Here is a 21941-nt window from a genome sequence, read left to right on the forward strand (position 1 = left end):
CACCCTGGCCTGTTCTGCCTCCCAGGCCAGAGGACCCCAGCACCCCCATTCCCAGCCTTGCCTCTGCTGCCCCGGGGCCCCCACCGGACCTTTCCCCACTCTCCCCAACTCCCCCTCTTTATCTGCGGCTCACAGCATGTATGCCTCCCCCTATCAGCGTATCAGGTTAGCATGCCTCATCTAAAGTGTATATATTACCTAATAAAATCCTTCTTATTTGGGATTATTGCATCAGATTTTAATTTCCTCACTCGAGCAGCAGCATGTCGGCCTGCCCGTCAGTGAAGGGCCGATAGAAGGTGAAAAGAGCGGATAAACTGCACAAATTACTGCCAGCCGATGCCTATCAGCCTTTCGACTGGAATTGACTGGAATTAAGGACTGAGAAATAGGATTTGCTACCTCAGAATCTGCTGTGGCAGCTCTCATCGGAAGTCCCCTTCAGCCCCCACCAGCCTGCTCCCCCCAAGGACGCCTCCTACTCCTGAAGCAAGCTGCACGTTCACCTTTCAAGTCCTTAATCCCGTCATGGAAATGGGGTAGGGGGTGTCCCGGCTGAGCTTGCTGAGCAGGAGGAGGACGTGGGTCCCTGAGGCCAGGAACAGCCCAGCTGGGCTCCTGTGTCCACGGCTTTCCTGACAAGGGCATCTTTGGAAGGGGACAAGCCACAGAGGGAAGAGAAGTCCAGCTTCTCTCAACTGTGTCCCCACTGCCCGGGCCTCAGAGGCTGGGGCTGTGTCTCACACCTCACCCCCTCCTCATCTTGGCACACGCACTGGGTGCAGAGCCCTGAGCCCTTGCCTCCTCCAGAGAGCAAAGGGGTCCCCCAGGCACACCCCACACTGCCCTCCATTCCCCAGTCACCTCCGCCTCCCTCCACCCCACCCCCCACTGCACCATGTGACTCTCAGCAAATCCCTGAGCACTCTGAGCCTCGGTTTGCTCACACATACCCCCATGTGAGGAAAGAGAGAGAGGGGGAACCTTGCTGGGGGCCCCACACAGTGGAACATCGTAGACACTCCACTAGTGCCAGTTCTGCCCTGGAGGCTGCTAGCTGTCCTCACAATGCACAGAAAGCCACTTGCCTCTAGGTAGAGATGATTAATATGGGGTGTTGGGGAGTCTGAATTTGCTGAAATTCTTTGGAAAAATCCACGTGGATGTGCATTTTCTGGAAAGAGGCCCCTGAGTTGTCATCAGATGCACACAGTGATTCCAGGCCCAAATAAAGTAACAATCACGTTTATAGCATTCACCATGTGCCAGGTGCTCTTCTGAGTGCTTCACGTTTATCGGCTGCTGAGGGGTGGGGATTGTGATTTTTACCCATTTTATAGATGGGGAAAACAAGGCAGAAAGAGGTTATAAGTAACTTACTCAAAGGATTCGAGCGCACGCAGTCTGGCAGCAGAGTCAAACCCTTAACCACCTTGTGGTGCTTTTCTGCTCCTCCCATTACAAACAGCGGGGCCCCTGCAGGCCTGCACACTGTAGCCTCTCTCTCGGAGGCGTCCTACTCCCTGAAATGTGGATTCCTGTGCAGGGCAGAAGCCCTTGGCAGGTCGCACCCTGGCGCACACCCCAGCTGGACTGGCTCCCTGGAGAAGCACAGCAGGCAGCGTGCCCTTGGGAGCAGGGTCGGCTCCGGGCCGAGCACAGCCGCACTTCTCCATCCCCCGTCTTTGGAAATAAGTTTCAGTATATTGAAAATATAATCACTGAGCCTCTGAAACAAGAGCTGTGGGCTCCCAGGAGCCCCCATTCCTCCCTGTTAATTCCTTCTCATAATGTTTCCAGTCTTTCTGGCTGCACTTGTATTAAAAGCTCAGGGTTTTATTAAAAGTGGATTTATTTACCCAAAAAAAGATGAAACCCCAAACTTTGCCAGGAGCCTGTCAGAGCTTGCTTCGTAGAAGCTCGGGTATGACTCTTTTAGGAAGAGTCCCCATTGTCCTCCTGTCCTGGAGAACCGACTGGCCTCCACAGAGCCCTGCCCGCCCAGGGGGCCTCTGGGCAGCCCCATGCAGGAGCCCAGCACGGGCTCTGAGGACTGAGGGCACTTTTGTCGCCAGGTCTCCTCTGCACAAGCCTGCACCAGCCCCCTCGTGTCTCCCCCTGAGGATCACTGTCCCAGGCCTGGCCTAGCCCTGCTCTGCATGTGTGTCTGGGACATGCAATTGCCCCTGAGTACTGCTTAGTGACTCTCTGGGGTGGTGATCCAGTGGGCCTCAGGCCCAGTTATCCTAGCAAGCCAGGAGAGCACGGAGCAACTGCTGTGAAGGGATACAAGTGCTTGGGGAGGGTGAGGTGGGGGGTGCCCCTGCTGTGTCATGGCAGCGAGACTGGGTGGAGTTAGAGGAGGGGTAGCTTGCCCCACAAGAGCGCAGGGCATGCGTGTCAGGGAACAAGCCTCTGCACAGGTGAAGGGGGTGGGGGTGCAGCTCGGGCTTCAGCCTCCTGCTGATAAACAGTGAGTGGAGGGAAGTGGCCGAGGACACAAGAGCCCTTCATTAGCCATGCAGATGCCAGGGTTGACATTTCCCTAGGGGGTGGGGACAGGCTTATCTTGCTCTCCATCACCCAGGGGAACACTGTGGCCTGGAGCCAGAGCCTCAGGCAGGCATGGTGGGCAGGCATGGCTGGCACTGGCCATGGTGTGATAGGACCTGGGGAACCAAGTAAAGGCTGCCCCAGGCAAGGGGCGACTCAGCGAGTGGTGGCGGTGACCTTCCACCCTAAGGTTTAAGGGCTCTGTGAAGGTTTAAACAAACTCTTGTTTGTTCGTTTGTTTATTCAGTCAATCAATCAACCCATCAATTGATATTCGAATGTGCCAGTTGTATGCCAGGATCTCTTCCTAGGACAGTCTTATGCCTCCAGGCACTTGCCTGAGCTCTGCCTTCTGCCCAGAGCACCTTCCTCTTCATGTTCTCTCCCTGGCAAACTCCTACTCATGCTTCATGACCCATGCTGAATGTTGCCATCTGTACGACCATTCGCCAATTCCTCCAGGTGGACTTCTCCCCTTTTTTGTACGTTTCTCCATGTGAGCCATATGTGTATTCGCACTCCTAATATGCGTATAGCAGCTGTCTGCTCAGATGTTCTTGACTTCATGCCATAGGCTGTGCTCCCCAAGAACGCGTTCCCCTGGCTTCCTATACTGTTAGTTCCAGCTCCTGCCCCTTCTCCATCAGTGCTGCAGAGAGAATGAGTAGGGGTGTGGGCAGAGCCATTCCAAGCAGGAATTGCCAGGCACAGTGCTGTGTGGGCCATGGTTCCTAGGGCCATGGCGGCCTCCTGAGTTGCCACCGTCATCCCCCGAGATACCTGCTTTCATGATTTATGCTTTCATCCCTAAAGTAGTTGAGCCACCATGTTCTCCTTTATTCAGACCCCAGTGAAAACAAGGTCCCAGGCTTTTTGCTGTTATTCTTATTAAGGTGGAGGGAAAGTGAGGCCAGAGAGGTGCAGCAACCTTCCTAAGGTCACACAGCAACGTGATGGGTGGTTGAGCTTGAGACCAGATCTCTTGTCTCTTCGCTGGATGCCCCTCATCTGTTCTTCCGTGGTGGTCCATTTGAATAAGGGATATGGGAAGGGGAAAGGGGAATGATAACATCGGTAAGGTTTGGCCTCCCCGTGGACCCTAGGGTGTTTGCCTGGGAACTGCAGTGTGTGCCCAGGGCAGCTGATGCCTGAGCCCTTGGCATCTACTTCCTGGGTTGCCCTTGCAGCCAGGATCAGCCTGGGGAGGGAAGCTGTGGGTGCCATGATAGCTACAAAGAAAGACAGCAGCCAGGGGACCCAAACTCAAGTCCCTCCTCTCTTCTGCCCAGGGCACGACGGTGCGCATCATCACCGCCATAGACCAGGATAAAGGACGTCCCCGGGGCATTGGCTACACCATCGTTTCAGGTAAGACAGAAGGCTGCCCCTCTCTCCTCTCACCCCTCTGTCCTCCACCCAAGGAGAGCCAGTAGGCATCTCAGGCTCTGAGGGCTAAGGAGAGGTCTGCGGGCATGTGGGACAGGGTAGGAGACCTGACTACAGGGACAGTCCTCGCCAAAGGGCCAGGAAGGTGACTGAGTGAAGGCAGGAGGAACAGGGAGAAGAGGTGCTGGGAAGCCGACAGAGGCTAAGCTGTCTGGGGGCTGCTTGGTGGGCACTGGGGGGTGGGCGCGTGTGCCGCTGTCCAAGGTCTGAGACGGTTGGGCACTTTGGGGCTCTGGGCCTGGGACTTTGGTGACTCCTATCTAACCTCCTGCAGCGCTCTGGGTTTGTCTTTTTCTTCTCGTATTTGATGAAAAGGTGGCAGTTCTAGCATCATTTTAGAACAAACGGAGCTGCAACTACAGCTGATTTCATGTTCTTTTCACATTTCCAACCCTTAAGAATTCATGTCGCATCTGGAATGTTGCGGGGGGGAACATCAGCCCCCTTGCCGCCCAGCTGCCTTGGTTGAGCAGAATAGTGACTGACGGCAGAGATGGTTCCGGGTGATGGGATCCCTGACCCACGCCCCACCCAAAGACTGACAAATGGCAGCTCTGTTCGGCTGTCCCAGGGCTGGGTGGTTTTAGAGCAAGGTTGCCTTGAGGATGTGGTGACAGGCTGCTCGCCCACAGACTCTGGCTCTGCCCACCCCCCCATACATGCCATACACAGCCTCCCTGCCCAACCCACGAGTCAGTGAAGGGTCAGCCTGGTGTATCTGGGCAGGCCAGGTTGATGGCCGAAAGGACATCTGGCCACCAGGCCAGATTCTACCCACTGCCTCTCCCTACCATACCCCCACATCCCCAGAACTGGGAGTGGCATTGTTGGAGTAGCATCCTGCCCCTAAAGCTCAGAGGACAGCAAAGCATAGTGATCAAGAACATGGAGGAGGATGGAGTCTACTGTGCCATGTCATTTTCACTGGGTCCCTGTCCCTCAATTTGCCTGTACCTCCATAAAATTGGAGCAACAAGAGTACCTACTTCAAGGTGATGTAAGGGTCAGATGATTTAACATATAAAGGGCTTAGTTAACGTATGTAAAGTACCACGTAAGTGTTAGCTGTGGTTATTACTACAGCTAGCAGCTAATGCTACCTTGGGAAGCTAGGGGTTAGCTAGTAGGAGGGAGACACCTCATGTCCTTGGCAATGCAGGAAACCAGGGGTGTCATGGGCTCCCTGGGACCCGCAGCTGCTGACATGACTATTGTTGCACCTCTAAGCCCAGGGAACCCCAGGACCCAGAGCAACTCCCAGCCCAGCACAGGTGGTGACTGGCAGCAGGAACATGGGTTTGGGCCTCTGCACCACCCCCTCCCCCATTTCATTATTCTGGTGTCCAGCACAGGACCTGGTGTAGCGTAAACCCCGATATGTACTTGCAAAATGAATGAATGTCACTCTAGGGGAGTGAGTTTTCAAACTCCAGCATGCCCAAGAATCTCCCGGGGCTCCTACCAAAACTACGAAGTCCTTGGGCCCCATGGAGATTCTCCTTCTGGAGGTCTGGGATGGGCCCAAGAATGGTCCTTTCTCACAGCACCCCAGGCAGCTCAGGTGCAGGCAGTCTTCAGACGGGGATGTGAGGAAGCCAGGCCCAGGAAGGAAACTGTTCTGCAGGAAGGCAGGACCTGCCTGGGAATCGAGGCCCTTTCTAGGTGGGCAGAGCAGAAGGGGAGGCCTGTCTTGGTGCTGATCTTCTTCATGAATTTTGCAAATTGAGACACAGAGCAGGAGCCTCCCAGTGACCAGGGGCTTGTGCTGGAGAACTGAGGGAACACCGGTGAGCCCTGGGTGATGGAGCTGGGGAGCCAGGACAGAGCGGCAGCAGGAAGGGGGTGCTGGGCTGGGCAGGGGCGTGTCTCTTATGTGCTCACAGCCTCCGGGCTGGTTCCAGATATACCCCAGCCTGGATGGAGGTGGGGAGCAGAGAGCCAGGACTTGGTTCAAGGTCATGCTTAGAATGGGAACTCCTGCAGAGACCCTGTGAGCCCATCCTCCAGGGCGCTGGCCCATTCCAGGTTCATGCTGGGTGCCAGGCTGCCAGTCCAGACCCTTAGGTCCTCTCCAGTCTTCAAAGATGGCTCCAGCCAGACCCACCTCTCTACTCTATCCTTCTGGGGAAGGAGGCTGGAGATCCAAGCTGCTAAGCCTTTGGTGTCTGGGCTGGACTCTGGAGCTTGGAGTCCGGGCACAACTGCCTGCAGCATCTCCAGTGGCAAAATCTCCTGGGACAGGCTCCCAAGTACAAACAACAGGGTGAGAAGGGAGACCCAGGATTTGAAACCACAGGGAAGGGATGTGTGTGGAGGCGAGGGCAGGAGACAGAAACTTCTGGAAGGCCTGAGGCATTCAGCATAGCTTTATAGGATTCCCACTGCCAGCACAGATGTGTCTTAAGGGCTTTTAGAAAGGATGACAAATGGGTTACCTCTCACATGCCAGCTTTGATTGATTGGTAATGGCTGCCTGCAGAGGATCATGGAACCAAATAGGCTCATGAGTGCAGTATTCAATTGGCAGAGTCTGCTATGGATGTGGCAAGGGATAGGGCCACTGTTTGACAAATATTTGCCATCCTTGCTATGTTACCACTTGAACAACACGTGCAGGGTGGCCTTAGAACTTCCTTTACCTATTTCGTGGGTGTTTGTCAGCACCTCACTTCACCCAAACCCCTGTTGGGTAATGAGCCCCTTGAGCAAATGACAGCCCTGCTCTTTCTTACCTAGGTAAGAAAGGTAGGTAAGGGTGGCTCAACAGGGCTGCCCCCACCCCCCATTCCTACCCCTTTCTCTGTGGCCCTGGGCTGGCACAGTCTCCCTGAGAGCCATCCTCAGCATGAGCCTAAAGCAGGCTAATGGGCAGGAGGGCACTGTCCCCAGGGGAGCAGGTGGACAGCAGGCTAGGATTTGGCCTCATCTCTACTTCCTTCCACCAGTGTAGACGTGGCTGAAAAGAACATTGTCTGCCAAGGGTCTGTCTCACACACCTGCCTCTCTGGTGACATTTGGTCACAGCCCTCTCCTGGGTGGCCTGGCCAGTGCCTGTTTATTGGAAAGCAGGCAGAAGGGATGGTTCATGTCACCCTGAGGGCATCTTCACAGCTGATTGCCCCAAGCTTGCCCTGAGTGCCCGGTAGGGGCCTGCCCCAGCCCTAGCTGCTCAGGAACCATTTTCCTTTGAAAGAAAGAATTAAGGGCTTTGTAGGGGGTGGGCAGAGCCAAATGGAGAGTCCTGAGTGTCACTGACATGGGTGACTTGAGTCTCTGGGGCACCCCCAGAAGCCTGGGCTGGTGGTGGCTCTGTCTGCAGTGGGTGAGGTCTGTCTGCCCCACGTGGCTGGAGACAGGCCTGAGCCCACAATGGATCCGTGGCCCACAGTTAACTTGCCCAGTCCCCTGAGGCCCTGTCCCCTCCAGGCTGTTTATCAGCCCCGCAGCTGTGGGGATTTATGTCTGCACACCAGTGCTTTCCCCATTACTAATGACCCCTCTGTTTTGCCAAGAACAAAGAGGCCTTCAGCACTAAGTTATGGCTCCATTGCCATCAATTTGTTCTCAGCCCTTTGTGGCCAAACTGAGACTGAGGAATGACAAGTTCCCACAGAGGACCTGGCATGGGCCCCATCTGCTCCCTCAGCCTGTGCCTGCCCTGCCACCCACAAGTGGCATCATTTTCTTGGGGGCCTGACCAAAACAGAGTTCTGCAGGCTCCCATCCCCAAAGGACTGCCCAGCCTGTGGTCTCAACAGACACCCCCTCTGGCCTCATCCTTCCTCTGCCAGACAGCCACAGTCCTCCTTCAAGGGGCAGCTGCACTCACCCCCCCAACAGAGCACTGAACTTGGAGTCAGAAATTGTGGGTTCGAGGCCCAGCTGTGCCACCTGCCAGCAATGTATCTGAGCAAGATGTTCGACCTCTCAATCCTGTGGTCCTCGCCCGTGGAACCAGGTTAATAATCCACACATGGATGAGAGGGTGCTGGAGAGACTCTAAAGGGCCATAAAATATTAAGGATTATGCATTGTCAAGTAACAAGCAGGACCCAGGGGTCCTTGGGACTCATTCATTCATTTCCTCCTTTATTTGTTTGAGCACAGGGCAGTGGTTGAGAGTACAGGCTCTGGAGCCGCTGTCCATGGTAGTGACCTCTAGCTGTGCCGGCCAGTGCATTTGCCCACAAGCCCATGTAGCTACTGGGCACTTGAAGTGCGGCTAGTCTGAATTGAGATGTGCTGTCAATAAAACACATAGGATTTTGAAGACCTAGTGTGCAAAAAAAGGTGATAAAATATCTCACTGGTAGTGTTTTATATTGATGACATGTTGAAATGATAATATTTTGGATATACTGGGTGAAATACAACATATTATTAAAATTAATGTTATCTATTTCTTTTTTGTGGCTACTAGAGAATTTAAAATCCCCCATGTGCCCATATTCTATTTCTGTTGGTGGCTGTGTTCTAGAGTTAGGTGGCCTCGGCTTAGCTTCTGCCACTGACCAGCTGCATAACCTTCTAAGCATCCGTTTTCCAATCTGTAAAATGGAGATAACAGCCTCTGCCTCACAGGCCTGTGGGGGTTTAGTGAGCTGAGCCGAGTCAGCACTCAGAAGAGCACCTGATCTCGTAGCTAAGGCACTGAGCAGCGTGGACTCTTCATTCCCACCCACAGTTGACCGAGGGCCTTCCCTGGGCCAGGAGCTGTGCTAATGTCCTGAGAAGTGGTGGAGACCAGGGCACCATCTTCGCCCTGGGAACCTGCAGTTTGGTCAGGAGACAGACCTATGCAGCGGCAGCTTTAATACCTCGGTGGAACTCTGTGAAGAGGAGGCACAAGATATGCTGATGTTGACATGCAGTGATGGCTCCCTGGGGGCCTGTTAGACTGTTTTATCTACTTCTGTGTGTGTTCAAAAATATCCATGATAAGAAGGGAGAAAAGATCCTTGGGAGGGGGTGCCTCATCCACTCAACGCAGGGTGGGGAGACTCCATGAGGAGAGATCACAAAAGCCAGGCATTGCAGGAGGAGTAGGAATTTGCCGGAAAGAGGGGCGGACAGGCAGAAAGAACAGTGTGTACAGAGACTCTGCAGTAGGAGAGGAGCCACATTCATGCATCTGCAGTAGCTCAGCGTGGCCGGGCAGAGTGCACAGGGGAGGCGGGGTGGGGGCGGGGGTCCGGTGCTGAGGCCGCAGAGGGAGGCAGGGCGGGCCATGCAGCATGTGGAGTGCCCGGCTCAGGAGAATGCCAGCCCTGGTCCTGGGAGCAGCAGGGGGCCACCTGGGGGGTCTTGGGAGTGGGGTGCATAGTCAGGATTGCGTTTGGGAAGCCCACTGTGGTCAAGGTGGAGCAGACAGGTTGGGGGACAGCAGGTAGGAGCAGGTAGGGAAGAGGTTGGGGTGTCCAGCTGAGAGACAGTCACAGCCCCGACTGCCCAGCCACAGGCCACATTAGGAGACAGAGGCCAAGGGGGCATGGAGGCCTTAGAGGAGGTGCTGATAGGACAAGTGCTGTGGGTGAGGGCAGAGCTCTGTCCTCTTTTCATGCTGAAAAGGCTTAATCTCTTCTTGCCGCCCACATCCGTTTCCCCATCTGCTGTCGTCCGCAGCTCAGGACCATCCCCGAGTGACGGGAGGAGAACCCTGTTTATTGGGTGCCTGCCGTGCACCAGGCACTGCCTGGACACAAGTTATCCCTCAAAACAGTCTATGAGAGAGACATAGACAAGGAAAGCAAGGCTCAGAGAGTTTACATAGATTGGCCAATAGTCACAGCTACTAAGAGGCAGAGCAGAGATTTGAACCCAAGTCCCTCGGGTTCCAGAACCTCCCAGTTTCCATGACAACCCACTAGTTCTCAAAGTGTGCTCCCCAGAGCAGCAGCATCAGCATCATCTGGGAATTATTAGAAATGCAAGGTTTTGCATCCCCACTAAACCTAAAGAATCAGAAACTCTGTGGGTGCGCCCGGGCAACACTGATGCTGCTGGTCTGGGGACCACACTTTGAGAAGCTCTGGTCTAAAGGAGCGTGTGTTCTCAATGGCGGCAAAATTTTGTACTGGGGAAGATCTTACTCTTTTAATGTTTAAAGCAGATTTACATTATATCCATGGTGTTGACATTTCATGTCGGGGGAGGAAAGCAATTACGTAAAAATGTCTAAAGTGGCTCCTGGGGCAAGGGGTTGAGTGGGGTGGGTGATGATGAAGAGAAGGTTGAGAAACCCTCTAGAATCAAGGGTAGGTGAGAAATATCAGGCCGAAACCCCTCACTTTCAACTTTCAAGGCAGTGGCCTCACTTCCAGGTCACACTGGGGCACTATGGTAGTGAAGGACAGAGCCTTCCCTTGCTTGTCTCTGAATTTTATTTTAATGCTACCCAAGTGAGGAGGTACATTGAGTGCTTTAAAATATACTGAAATACATGAAAATACACTGATTGCTTTGAAGGGAAGTCTGTGTGTGTGTGTGTGTGTGTGTGTGTGTGTGTACGCAGGGAGAATAATCAGATACAGTCAGACTTGCACAACCTCACACCCCCCACATATGCCAATAACTGAATCGGGCCTCTGGCCATGGCCTAGTGGGGGACAGCTATCATAGGAGACCATCGTGCGAAACACTTCAAAGCCCTTGTGATTAAGCTGCTTGGCATTTTCTTCCCCTGAGAAGTAAAAACTCAGGAAAAGCAGAATTGCTTTGGAACTCTGAATCGCACACCACAGCTCCTGGCTTAGGGTAGCACAATGGCTGCCTGGAAGCCCCAAACATCTCAGGGCATCTTGGGGAATGGCTCACCTGGCTGGAGCCAGAGGTCACCAGGAAGGAGTCCAGGGCAGATCAGAGAGGGGTGGCAGGACATTTGCTAGAAGACAGAGAAAGCAAAAGAAGTAGGTTATTGAGTGCAGCTGGGGTCGGGGAAGTGAACGCGGGGTCACCAGGAGATTCATCAGTTCTGGGTGGATTGGAGCAGGAAGCACTGGAATGAGGGCGATCTGCTAACAGGCTGTGGCTCTAATCTGTCCTTGCCGCGGGGAGGTCTGGGGGTCATTGTGGTGACGTACAGGAACCGAGTCAGCAGGCTCTGGTGATGTACTGAAAATAGATGATGTGGGAAAAGGAGGAGACAAAGAAACTACTAACGTCTGAGTCTAGGTTTCTCGGATCATGGTGGTGGCCTAGGCAGAAAGGGGCATATTCATAGGAAAAGCCTGTTAATATCTGTGAATGCCACCCTAGACCCACATGTACCAAAACACCCCATTCTTCATCCATGGCAGACATCACTAATTGATCCCAGCACAAGGATGGGCCTCCAAGCCTTTCTTACCTGCCCTCTGGCAGCCACTAGCAGTTGAGAAGCATTCTCTCTCAAGCTGGAACAAACCTGCTGTCCAAAGTGCAGGTTTAGCCCATTTGTATCCTGTAGCTCTCTTCTTTCAAGAGTATCTAGGGACAGAGCCTCTAGAGGGTTTTTAATTTAATTATACAAACACGCTGGCCTGTTATTTGCAGTTCTCTCCCACCATCATGCCGAGACAGCAATAATGCATCACACCAACACTCACTTTCTCCTGATGAGCCACAGAAAAGTCTGCACTTCTTCCTTCCCCCTGATCTTTCGCCCTCTTCTCTGCAGGGTGTGCTTCCTGCCAGCCGGCCTCTCCTGATGCTCTCATGAGCTCGCCTTTGTGATAAACCAGTCTTTATAGCCATGCTCATGATTCCCTGTTCTTCCTCTCTCCTTTAATGAGGTCCTGTATGCTCTTTGTCAGCAACAGTGGCTTGCCCCTTGCTTCCTTCCCATAAATAACACTGGTGGGTGGACTTTTAAGAGGTTTCACTGAAGCACAGTCTAGGACTCTCCCTTTCTGCGTCTCGTCTTCCCCATACCCTCCCCATGGGCAGGAGTCTGTCTCTGTCCCTTGCTCGGGACATAGAGTGCTGTGGAAACACCCTCAAGGCCTCTCCCTTCTGCTAGACCTGAGTCCACTTCCCCAGCTGGGCAAAGCATGGACTGCACGGGCTCTTTTTATTGGTCCACTCAGCTCAGGGAACCACATCTCTGAGCCAGAGCCATGGCTGAGGCAGCTCTGTGGGGTTGGGGGGTTTCTAGCTCATGGCTGGAGGTTGTTTTGGTGGGCGATTCTGGTTACCACATGTCAACAGGAACTTGTCTTTTTTTCTTTTTTGTTTCTTTTCTGCTTTTTCCTCAATCTGTAAGATAACTGCTTTTTATTGACTTTCAAGAGCTTTGAGATCTTTGGAGGAATAAGAAATTAGCCACCATTCAGTTTGCATTCTCTTTCTATTTTAACTTGGTCCACCTCTGGTACACAGAATTGATTTAAACGTAATTCTCGGCTCACGATTAACATTGGTCCATGTGTAGCTCTCTTTTGTTTCATTCTTAGCCTTAATAATATTGTGGATGCCTGTGAAACTCACCAGCTCACCTAGAGCAAGACCATCACCCATGCCTTACCTCGCCTTACCCACACCTTATTCATACCTTACCCACACCTTACCCTCACCTTACCCACACCTTACCACCTGTGTGTTCCTCCTCTACCCCATTCCCTGCCTCCCATCCTCCAGAACCACATATTTGAATCCTGCATTCTCTTATTCTCTTCCTTTTGGCAAATATCTTATCGCATATATGTGGATGACATATTGCTTGAATTTAGTTGTCTTTGAACTTTATTTTACAAATATCATGTTATACATAGGCTCCTGGGACTCCTATTTTATCCTCGATAGTATATATCCAAGACTCATCCATGCTGTCAGGTGGGTATTGTTTTTCATGTTTGCTATGCATATTACTCCATCATGGGAGAATACTGTAGTTTATTCATCCATTTCCCTGTTGATGGGTTGATTTTTGCTATTACAAACTGTGCTGCTATGAACATCTGTGTATCTCTCTCTGGATGTGTGCAAGAGTTTGCCTTCAGCTACATACGTCATCTCTCACCCCCATCATAACCCCCAAATGTGGCTGGCTAGAGCCATTTAACAGATGAGGAAGCTAAGACGCAAAGAGCTCATGAAACATGCTTAGGGCCGCATGGCAAATGAGCGGCAGATCCAGGATTCAAACCTAGACCTTCCTGCTTCTAAAACTCACATTTTTTTTCCTGCTATTGTTTGCTATTCTGCCTGAGAAGCCAAGGGATTCATGTCAGCCTGGTGGTCTGTGTGTAGGAGTGGAATATTAAGATTCATTCAATCATTCCTTTATTCATTCATTCATTTGTTCATTCATTCATTCAGCTAGCCAGTGAGTACTTATTGAGTGGCTACTGTGTGCCAAGCTCCATGCTAGACCCTGGGGACCAACTGTGAACTGAAAGCCACCATCACCACCCTCGTAGAGTTCACATGTTAGTGGAGAAAAGGGATCATAAATAAATCAGCAAAGAGAGTGTTTCCCCGCTGTGTTAAACATCAGGAAGAAAATACCAGGGTGAGGAGAGGGTACCTAGGAAGGCATCTAGGAAGGGGATTTAGGAAGGCTGGACCAGGGAAATTTCAGCTGCCTGCATCCACCTTTCCAGGTTATGGGCATGGGAGGAGATCCTCGTAGCTCCCACCTCAGAAAAGGTCTCCAATATCTTCTGGGGGCTTTGAACCTGAGACGAGCCCCTCTAAGCAGCTCAGATTCCCAGCTCCCTTTTTCATCTGACTCCCTGGATGACTGCTTAGCTTTCAAGGCAGCCCCCAGCCGGGGCTAATCTGAAATAAAAGTTTTTATTTATCTAGCTTGATACCTGGTGCAAGGTTAAATCATACAAAAGAAAAAGCAATAAGAGAGAAAGATTAAGCATAAGGCGCTGTCTTAGGCATGCCCTTTTGCAATATGGTTACAAAGATATTAAGCCTGAAGACACCCACAAGTCCACATTGCTATTTCCTTGTCTCTCTGGGCTCAGCTTAGCTGCTGCTGGAGCAGGAAGGATGACAGAACTTGGTGGGGGCCGTAGGAGGGAGACCCCCTGGGGTACCCTGCGGAGAGGGTGAGCAGCCAGATGGAGTTCTAGTTACTCAGCCCATCAGCCACCTCCCACCCCACACAGCTCTGATTCATGGCTTCCCTGGGGAACAAAAACATTGACATCTGCACCTACGTTTCTATCAGCGTGTCCGTGTCATCAGTATTTATTATGTGCCTGCCACGGGCAAGGCACCCTGGGGAGAGAGAGCAGGCAAGAAACCTTCATCACAATCCCTTCCCACAGTCAGTCTGGGCTCAAATCTCAGGTGACCTTGAGCCGGTTACATCCACCTGTGCCTCAGTTTCTTCATCTGTGAAATGGGAATATTCATAGGGTTATTTTAAGCGTCAGATGAGTTAATACAAGTAAAGCTCTCAAAACAGTGCCTAACACATAGTAGGCACACTTTATTATTATTATTTATTATTATTATTAGCATTAAAAAAATTATAGTCTAGTTGATGACAAACACAAACAAGAAAAACAATGCCTGGATTCCTCAGCCTGTAGGTATTAATGGGGTCTCTAAAAATCCAGATTTCACTGACTCGTGGCCTTCCTCCATGTCTGTATAACCCTAAGACTTCAGTTCTCTATAAAATCCCCACAAAATATTGCAGAGGCACCTACAGGATGGGGAGGAGGCAGTTCCCCTGCACTTTCTAACTGCCCTGCCAGCTCTCCTGCCCTCATCCCTCTGGGTGTTCCCTGCACAAAGCCGCTGCAGGTGGGTAACTCACCAGGCCTCTGCTGTAGGCACCCTCTCTAGCCCCTGAAATGGCCCAGCATCTCCTGGGCGCCCATGACCCTGGAGCCAGATGGATTGTCTGCTCATCCCCCTGCTGCAGGCTGCACTTGGGATCTGGGTCCCATAGCTCCACTGCCTGAGCCCTGTGCACTGCGTGCCCCTCCCCACTCACACGCAAACAGCTCCCCCAGCTCCAGTCTGCAGCCCTTCCCTCTACAGGGCCAGGAAAGGCCATGAGGACACCATGCCACCCTCCTCACCCATCTTTCTTACAGAGCCCATTGTTTAAAGTAATTTTTTTTTTTGAGACAGTCTCACTCTGTCACTCAGGCTGGAGTGCAGTGGAGCGATCTTGGCTCACTGCAACCTCTGCCTCCAGGGTTCAAGCAATTCTCCTGCCTTAGCCTCCCAAGTAGTTGGGACTACAGGCACCCGCCACCACACCCAGCTAATTTTTGTATTTTTAGTAGAGACAGGGTTTCACCATATTGGCCAGGCTGGTTTTGAATTCCTGACCTTGTGATCCACCCACCTTGGCCTCCGAAAGTGCTGGGATTACAGGCGTGAGCCACCGTGCCCAGCCTAAAGCAATTTTTTTAAAAGAAGGAAGGAAAGGAGGAGGAGAAAAGAAAGCTTTCTTTTAGCCAAAATATCAGCTTACTTAAAGCCCACCCCACCCATTCCCCAGACATGTCCAGTACAGACCCTAGGGAGAACCAACTACACAAATAATTCATCATGGGTGCCTGAAGCATGGCATATGTAATACACACTTTCGGAGGTTAGGAAAGGGTTTGTTCTCCCCAGGAAAGGCAGCCCTTGAAGGAGAGTTTGGGGAGATGGTGAGGAAGAAGGGTTGCCACCCGCAGGGTAGGGTGTGAGCACACGCTCCCAGGACCTTCCCCCAACCCCTGCCCTAACATTCTCCTGCACGTTGGAACCCACATTGGGAAAGGTTTGAATGCCAAACTAGGGAGTAATAATGACATCATATTAATAGCTACCACTTCTTGGATGTGTGGGAACGGACCTAAATGCTTTACCTACATCAACTCTTTTAATCCTCTCAATAAACCCATGAGACTGTCCTATTACTGTTATCCCCATTTTACAGAGGAGGAAACTGAGGCCCAGTTGCCTAAGATTTCATGGCTGGTAGGTGATAGAACTGGATACTGAACCCAGCAGGCTGGCTGTAAGCCCATTTTTCTCCACCGCTCCCTGCCCTGAGCACTTGAGCGGGCTGCCACAGGCTGAGAATCACTGGGTCTACCTCTGGACTTGGCTAAACTTCCTGTGCTCCTCTGCCACCTCTCTCTCTGCCTCTCCGTCAAATGCTCTGAGTCAATTAACTGGCTGCCCCCATTCAAATATTTGACCAATATCCTGGAAACAGAGATTTCAGAGCAGATATTTTCAGACATTCATTGAAGTGAACAAACATTCTGGCACAGAACGAAATTATTGCTCAACATCTGATTCTGTTGGGCTGTGCCCCCATCCCAGCCTTACCCCTCCCCACCACTTGAAGGCATTTCTTTTTGGGTGCAAGGTGGGTGGAATCAGGCTGCTTCTGCTTTCTATCTCACTGCCCCTCCTACCCCCTTTGACTGCCAGTTCGTGAGGATCTCCCCGCCCTCACTTGTAGGATCACGTCATTGAAGCACTTTTGAATCCATAAAGGCAGATGCTGAAGGGCACTTCACAACGACGTCCGGCAGACCAAGGATTATTTTAAAGGGGCTTGTGACTAGTTTTTCTTTATAATGACAGTGGTAGTACCAAATGTCAGCAAAAGCAATTTAGTTGAGATTGAAAGGAGCACTTTGCAAATGAGGATTTGAGTCCCTGGGATGCTTTCAGTCCTCTTTAGAAGTCTGTAGGAGCTGGGCCTGGTGGCGAGTGCCTGTAGTCCTAGCTACTCCAGAGGCTGAGATGGGAGAATCACTTGAGCCCAGGGGTTCGAAGCTGCAGTGAACTAAGATGGCCCCACTGCACTCCAGACTCCAGCCCGGGCAACAGAGTGAGACCCTGTCTCTAAAAAAAAAAAAACAAAAAAAAACAAAAAAAAACACCAGTCTCTTCTCTAGGGACTGGGGAATTGGCCATTCATGACTCAGCATGTGGTTGGCAAGGTCTTAATGTGCCAGCTTCCACATGGGTGGTCTTGAGGAGACAGACAAGACTATATAAATGGAAACTGAAAATGTAAAACCAAGCCACCAAGAAGCTTGAGGATTTGCTACAGAGGTAAACGTATGAGAAATCGCTCCTCCATCACAGCATTTGCTGAGCGGCTGGTGCTGTCAGTAAGTTCCTGGGGGAGATCAGAGGAGGCCGAGAGGGCTGAGGGCTGGGGCAGAGGCGAGGATAACAGCTTCACCCGAATGCTGGTTCCCCAACTGTAAGATGATACTCCCAAGGGATGATTTTAAGTGGTGCATGGATGGGGCGTGAAATAACATTGAATCACACAAAGAGACGGTTATTCCATTCTTGATTCTCTTACAGAATTTCCATTTCTGTCAGTTCTACCCAGGAAAGGGTTCAGTTGGGTGCTCATGTCTTTAGCACCTCTTCAACTGGGCTCGTGTCCCCACTGGACACAAGGAGAGCTGCTGGAGCCTTCAGAGGCCAAGCTGATGCAGCTAACCATGGAGGCAAACGACACAGGCTCATCTCCCCATGTTACAGCCACCCTCTACACATGGCTGATGAACTGGTTCTCCATGTGTGATACCCTTAAAGAGTTTTTTTAAGATGATGTTTAAAAAAATTAAAGAAAACTACTAAACAAATAATAATAGAAGTTTCATACATATATAGCAGAAATTGGGAGGCTGGCATCCACATGACTGAAGATCAGGCAATGCTGATGTAGGAGTCACTTGACTTGGGCCTTTCCTTGACTGACTTTCCTTCTGAGAGTCACCTCAATGCATGTGAAGGGCTCAGAACAGCTCCTGGCCCAGGGCAGGTGCTCAGGAAATGCCAGCTCTCTGTTGGATGGAATGGCCCTTGGAAATGGGGTGCACTAGCACCCACACGGCAATGTTTTTGGCGCTGCTGCTGGGACTGAGGTGTGGGTTGGTTAGGTGGCAAGGAAAGCATCCCAAGCAGGAGAGGCTGTGATGAGCAAAGGCTTAGAGGGAGGACCAAGAAACATTTAAAGGACAGTGGACAGACGGATCAGACTGCAGAAAGGGAAAGATGAAGATGAACAGACTGACCAGACTGCAGAAAGGGAAAGATGCAAGATGATTTGAAGGGTCTTGGGCCAAGCTAAGGAGTGTGGATTGTTCCTTTCAGGGCATCTGTGTTTACAAGAACCCAAGATCTCTCAGGAGCTCAGGAAAAGGGGCTTGCTGTGAGGCTCAGGGTTCCCATGGACATTCTGAGCTGACCCTCCTCAGCATTGGATCTCCTGGCTCAGGAACTAGGAACGAAGCTTGGATGTTTTCTCCTTTCCTACAGCATCTGTATTCATTTCCTATAGTTGCCATAATAAAATGCCACTAACTTAGTGGCTTAAAAACCACAGAAGTTTATTCTCTTACAGTTCTAGAGGTCAGAAGTCTGAAGTGAGGCTTATGGGGTTAAAATCAAGGTGTCAGCAGGGCTGGTTCCTTCTAGAAACTCCAGGAGATAATCCCATCCTTGCCTCTTCCACCTCTTCTGGTGGCTGCCAGCATCACTTGGCTTGTGACTGTGTTGTTCCGATCCCCTCTTCCCTGGTCCCATTGCCTTGTCCTCTCCTGTAGTCAAATTTCCCCCTGCCTCCCTCTAATGAGGACCCTTGTGATTACATTTAGGGCCCACCCAGACAATCCATGCTAATCTCCCATTGCAAGATCTTTAACCAAACTACATCTGCAAAGTCCCCTTTGCCATGTAAGTAGCATGCAGAGCTTGCAGCGTTTCGGACCTGGGTGCATTTGATGGCCATTCTTCAGCCCACCATAGCATCCGTGCCCTCTCTGAGCATCTGCCTCTCTCTACTGGCTCCCTTACAGTCTCACCTGGGCCATGATGTCTACACTGCCTCTTCTTCGCGCCGCTCTTGAAATGCCCTTTCAGCTGCTGTCCCAGCTGCCAAGCACCTCTACACTCTAGTTATCCCATTCTGAGTTTCCTAGAGGGGTCAGATTGGCCAGCTTACCACTACAGCAGTGTCCACCACAAGCCGTGGGAGCTGGCAGCCTGAGATGCTGTCCCCTAGGCAGCCGGTACAGGAGAGGGTGGTGGGGCCATGCGTGGGGCAGGCCCCAAATACATCTAGTACACTTTCAAAGATAGACAGACTGATGGGACAGAATAGAGCTCTTAGAACCAGACCCAGATATAAATATGGGAACTTGTTATATGATAAAGGTGGCACCGCAAATCACCGAGGAAAGGATGACTTGTTTAGTAGCTGGTGTTGGGAAAACTAGCTCACCACGTTGAAAAAAAATAAAGCAAGATCCCTACCATACACCATATACCAAGGTAGACTCCAGATGGATTCAAGACCTAAATGTGAAACGTAAAATATAAAGCTCATAAAAGGAAATGTGGGGGTATATCTTCGTGACCTTGTAGTAGGAAAGGACTTCTCGGCACCCCCGGAGCACATGCCATAGAAGAAAAATTGTTCTACGTCAAAGGAGTTCCAATTCAATCAGAATATATAGACAAAGTTAACAGCAAATGATATATGGGGAAATTTTTGCAACAATTAAAACCAAGGAACTAATAGCTAGCATATATAAGGAATTCCTGCAGATCGAGAGGAAAAAGTTGGAAAATCCAATACGAAAATAAGCACAGGATATTCATAGAGTGGGAAACCCCAGTGACTGGTGGACACATGTAAAGATGCTGAAACCGACTAAAAATCAGGGGAACGCAAATGGTAACTGCAGTGACTAACCTCTTCACACCCCACATTGACACAGGAGCCAAATCCTCCCTGTTTTTGTGCAGCCTGCAAGCTGAGAATGGGTTTTAAATATAACTATTTTTAGGCCTGGTGCAGTGGCTCACACCTGTAATCCCAAAGCTCTGTAAGGCCAAAGAGGTGGATCACTGAGGCCAGGAGTTTAGACCAGCCTGGGCAACGGAGTAAGGCCTCATCTCCATGGGTGTGGTAACCCATGCCTGCAGTCCTAGCTACTTGGAAGGTTGGGAGGATTGCTTGACCCCAGGAGTTTGAGGTTACAGTGAGCTATGATCATGCCATTGCACTACAGCCTGGGCGATAGAGTGAAACCTTTTCTCTAAAAAGGATAAAAGAAAGAAAGATAAGTATTTTTGCCATTGATCTGAGGGTAGTAAACATGATCTGTGAACTCCAGTTAAGCAAAATGTTATCCCCCACCACAAAAATTCCATTCTTCTCATTAGCAGGACTGTAGTATAAAAAATTGTGCTCAATTATTATTATATTTTGAATTCCTCAAAAATGTTTGTGGAAATTTGTTTTCTTTCTTCCTTTCTTTCTTCCTTCCTTCCTGTTTCTTTCTTTCTCTCTCTCTCTCTCCCTCCCTCTCTCTCTCTCTCTGTCTCTCTTTCTTTTTGACAGAGTTTCCCTCTTATTGCCCAGGCTGGAGTGCAATGGCACAATCTTGGCTCACCACAAACTCCGCCTCCTGAGTTCAAGCAATTCTCCTGCCTCAGCCTCCCGAGTAGCTGGGATTATGGGCATGCACCACCACACCTGGCTAATTTTTGTATTTTTTTAGTAGAGATGGGGTTTCTCCATGTTGGTCAGGCTGGTCTTGAACTCCCGACCTCAGGTCTCTGCCCGCCTTGGCCTCCCAAAGTGCTGGGATTACAGGCATGAGCCACCGCACCCAGCCTGCTTTCTTTCTAGTATCAACATAATGTCCTTGATTTGGCCTCTTGACCTGCAAAGTTTGAAATATTCACTATAGCCCTTTGAAAGAAAGTTTGCTGACCCCCACACACTCTGCATCAGTTAGAAGCCACATGCTATCAGGTTGAACCATATAAAATCCCCATTTTCGTAGTGACAAAATGATTTAATGTCAGCAATTTGTTATGGTTCAAATTCATAGACATATATATACAGCAAAATAGATTAATATTTAATTTACCCACAGGGCAAAATTACTGACAGGATGTGCCATGAGAAAGGGCTCTGGCATTAATATACTGAGATATCAGCCAAGGGCTTGGGATCACATAGGTCCAAGTTTAAATCCTGGCTCTGAGTTCAGCTTCCTGTGGGGCCTTGACAAATCAGTTCTGTAAATAGAGTTCAAAATACCTACTTCGATGAGGCATTGCACAGCAGTGCCTGGCATATAGTAAGTGCAGGGTAAATTACTATCGATCACGAGTTCATTGACATCACCTAGAGAAAATGGCTGCCTTTCATTGTACCATCTTGAAAGAAGGCTGCTAGGGAAAAGCAGGGAGGAGCCTCTGCCATCCTATTTCTCTAATTAGTCTGCCCGTTCCCCTCTTTTCCATCTTAGCGATCTTTCTGTATCCCTCCCCTCCTTAAAAACTTATCTTCACACTCACCTCCCCCAGGAAGCCTTCCCTGACCACCCGCTTGCATCATCTACTTAACTGACAGTAGCAGGTTTGTCGCCCCCATTCTATTTCCAATGCGGAGGTTCATGCTTACTCCACCATCCTTGGACCCTGTGCCCAGGACAGTGTCACCTCTGGCATGGCCACCTGGTTGGCCTGGGGTTCACAAGTATTTGTCTCTTTGACATTCTTTCCTTCCCCCCATGGTAACCACTGAATCCCTGGGAATCTGCAGGTCCCAAACACACGGCCCTCACAACCCAGAAAGGAGCCATCCTTTCCCAAGGGGCATCCCAAGCACCTGCAGGGGCCTTCCCCTGTCATCCGCCGAGACAACGCTCTGCGGGAGTCATTGCCTCCCACTGTACCCTGAGAACCAGAGGCCCAGCCTTGATGTGGCCTGCCTGGGACTGCCCAGGTTATGCGTGGCACTGCCAGCAATTGGCACCAAACCACCCACACCCATATCCAAGGCCTTTCTGTCACACCCCAGCCACTTTCAAGCCCAGAGGTGACCACGTGACTCCAATGTCCCTCCTGTGAAATCCTTCTCTTTCTCTTACCTCTCCAGGGAAACTGAAGCCCACACCAACTGACTTTCCTCCATGGTCCGTGTGACTCAGAACTGCTAATTG

The 21941-nt window shown here is 50.8% G+C and overlaps 1 protein-coding gene across 5 annotated transcripts in view; it reads left to right on the forward strand.

Annotated features, from left to right (window-relative positions):
- The window catches only part of CDH23 (cadherin related 23), a 419028-nt gene that overhangs the window by 177152 nt on the left and 219935 nt on the right, over positions 1-21941 (forward strand). For all 5 annotated transcript variants that reach the window (NM_022124.6, NM_001171930.2, NM_001171931.2 and 2 more), the window contains exon 9: positions 3843-3921. In NM_022124.6, the coding sequence (NP_071407.4) occupies positions 3843-3921 (79 nt within the window). The remainder of the gene's footprint in view (positions 1-3842; positions 3922-21941) is intronic.

The sequence above is a fragment of the Homo sapiens genome, chromosome 10, assembly GCF_000001405.40.
Source record: "Homo sapiens chromosome 10, GRCh38.p14 Primary Assembly".
Taxonomy (NCBI): domain Eukaryota; kingdom Metazoa; phylum Chordata; class Mammalia; order Primates; family Hominidae; genus Homo; species Homo sapiens.